General features: G+C 39.4%; 1 pseudogene; it reads left to right on the top strand.

The window, feature by feature from the left end:
• On the top strand, window positions 609-709 carry RNU6-1087P (RNA, U6 small nuclear 1087, pseudogene; annotated as a pseudogene).

Consider the following 3,370-nt stretch of genomic DNA (forward strand, 5'->3'; position numbering starts at 1 on the left):
CAAATGTACCAAAATACCCAAAAGAAGGGAAATCAGTATATTGAAGAGATATCTGCTCTCCTATGTTTGTTGAAGCTGAGATTTTGAAGCAACCTAAGTGTTCATCAACAGATAAATGGATAAAGAAAAAGTGGTACATATACACAATGGAGCACTAGTCAGCCATCAAAAACAATGAGATCCAGTCATTTGCAACAACATGTATGAAACTAGACATCATTATGCTAAGTGAGATAAGCCAGGCACAGAAAGACAAACATTACATGTTCTTACTTATTTGTGGGATCTAAAATTCAAAACAATTGAACTCATGGACACAGAAAATAGAATAGTTACCAGAGGCTGGGAAGGGTAGTGAGGGGTAGGGATGTTTAAAGGGTACAAAAAGTAGTTAGAAAGAATGAATAAGACCTATATTTGATAGCACAACAGGGTGACTACAGTCAATAATAACTTAATTTTACCCTTTAAGATAGCTTAAAGAATGTAATTTGATTGTATATAACTTAAAGGAGTTAAATGGTTGATGGGGTGGATACCCCTCTTCTCTTTGATGTGCTTATTTCATATTACATGCCAGTCTCAAAACATCTCATGTTCTCGTAAATATATACATCTACTCTATACCCACAAAATTTTTTTTAAAAACAGATCAGCATGGCCCCTGAACAAGGATGACAGGCAAATTCATGAAGTGTTTCATATTTTTAGCTGCTCTTGCCATGGTGGAAAAAAAATGATAACTATGTGGGAATATGAATATGTCATCTTGTTTTATAATAGTACCAATTTTTCTATATCTATGTATCACAAAACATCTGGTTGTGTATGTTAAACATACATAACAAGATTTATTTTAAAAAAGAAACATATAAATACTGGGGAAAAAACTATTATTCATATTTTTAAAAAGCTGTGACATGGACTTAAGGAGTCATAAAATGTCAATGAAGGCATTAAGAGGTTTCTGAAACCTAATAACTTAATTATTTGCATAGAATTAGGAATGAAGAACCCTCTTGGGAAGCATACTTTATAATGCTCCTCTTCAGTCTTTCTTACTTTTGACTATTTATTAGGGTATATGTGTTGTTACAGTGACTGAATTAGATGAGATTTTTAGGTTTTGAGGGAGCATTTAGAAGAAAAAAGTATTGACTTCTGACTTCGGAGTTACGTTTCCTGAGTTTGATTTGATGCTTAGCTATTTACCAGCTGTGTAACACTGGCCAAACTTCCTAATCTCTCTGTGCCTTAGTTTTCCCATATTTAAAATGAGATGAGATTTTAAACATGTGTCAGCCCCTCTCATTACAGGCCTGGAAGCCTAGGAGGAAAAACTTGTTTGATGGGAAGGGCACAGCGACCCCCTGCTGTGTGCAGCCTATGGACTTGGTGCTCTGCATCATGACCACTCCAGCTGTGGTTGAAAGAGGCCAAGGTATAGCTCAGGCCATGGCTTCAGACGGTGCAAACCCCAAGCCTTGGCAGCTTCCACATGGTGTCGAGCCTGCAGGTGCATAGAATTCAAGAATTGAGGTTTTGGAACCTATGCCTAGATTTCAGAGAATGTATGGAAACACCTGGCTGTCCAGGCAGAAGATTTCTGCAGGGGCAGAGCAATCATGCAGATCCTCTGCTAGGGCAGTGCAGAAGAGAAATGTGGTATTGGATCCCACACACAGAGCCCCACTGGGGCACTGCCTAGTGGAGCTGGGAGAAGGGGGCCACTGTCTTCCAGACCCCAGAATGGTAGATCCACTGAGAGCTCTCACCATGCACCTGGAAAAGCCGCAGACACTCAACACCAGCCCGTGAAAACTGCTGGGAGGGAGGCTGTACCCTCCAAAGCCACAGGGGTGGAGCTGCCCAAGGTTGTGGGAGCCCACCTCTTGCATCAGTGTGCCCTGGATGTAAGACATGAAGTTAAAGGAGATCATTTTGGGACTTTAAAGTTTAATGATTGTCCTATTGGACCTATTGGATTTTGGACTTGAATGGGGCCTGTAGCCCCTTAGTTTTGGCCGATTTCTTCCATTTGGAATGTGTGTGTTTGCCCAATGCCTGTATCTCCATTGTATCTGGATAGTAACTAACTTTCCTTTGATTTTGCAGGCTCATAGGCATTGTCTCAAATGAGATCTTGGACTTAGACTTCTGTGATAGTGCTGAAATGAGTTAAGATTTCGGGAGACTGTTGGAAGGGCATGATTGTGTACTGAATTGTGAGAACATGAGATTTGGGAGTGGCAAGGGGTGGAATAATATGGTTTGGCTATGTCCCTACCCAAATCTCATCTTGAATTGTAGTTCCCATAATTCCCACACGTCATGGGAGGGACTAGGTAGAGATAAGTGAATCATGGAGGCAGTTTCCCCCATCCTGTTGTTGTAATAGTGAGTTATTTCTCACGAGATCTGATGGTTTTATAAGGGGTTTTCCCCTTCACTGGGCACTCATTCTTCTCCTTCCTGCCACCCTGTGAAGAAGGATGTATTTGCTTCCCCTTCTGCCATCATTTTAAGTTTCCTGAGGCCTCCTCAGCCATGCTGAACTGTGAGTCAGTTAAACCTCTTTCCTTTATAAATTACCTAGTCTCAGGTATGTCTTTATTAGTAGTGTGAGAACAGACTAATACATACATTAAAACTGAAAGATATAGAATCTTTGAACAGACTGATAACAAGCAGTGATATTGAAATGGTAATAAAGAAATTGCCAACAAAGAAAAGCCCAGGACCAGATGGATTCACAGCTGAATTCAATCATACATTAAGAAGAATTGGTACCAATTCTATTGACACTATCCAAAAGATAGAGAAAGAAGGAATCCTCACTAAATCATTTTATGAAGCAGTATCACCCTAATACCAAAACTAGAGAAGGACATAATAAAAAAAGAAAACTACAGACCAATATCCCTGATGAACACAGATGCAAAAATCCTCAACAAAATACTAGTGAACCAAATCTAACAGCATATCAAAAAGATAATCCACCATGACCAAGTGGGTTTTTCACCAGTGATGCAGGGGTGGTTTAACATATGTAAGTCAATAAATGTGATACACCAAATAAATGGAATTAAAAACAAAAATCACATGATCATCTCAATAGATGCATAAAAAGCATTTGACAAATTCCTACATCCCTTTATGATTAAAACCCTCAGAAAAATCGGCGTGGAAAGGACATACCCTAAGGTAATAAAGGCCATCTACAACAAACTCACAGCCAACATTATACTGAATGGGGAAAAGTTGAAAGCATTTTTCCTGAGAACTGAAAAAAGACAAGGATGCCCACTTTCACCACTTCTACTCAACATAGTTCTGGAAGTTCTAGCCAGAGCAATCAGACAAGAGAAAG

The sequence above is a fragment of the Homo sapiens genome, chromosome X, assembly GCF_000001405.40.
Source record: "Homo sapiens chromosome X, GRCh38.p14 Primary Assembly".
Taxonomy (NCBI): domain Eukaryota; kingdom Metazoa; phylum Chordata; class Mammalia; order Primates; family Hominidae; genus Homo; species Homo sapiens.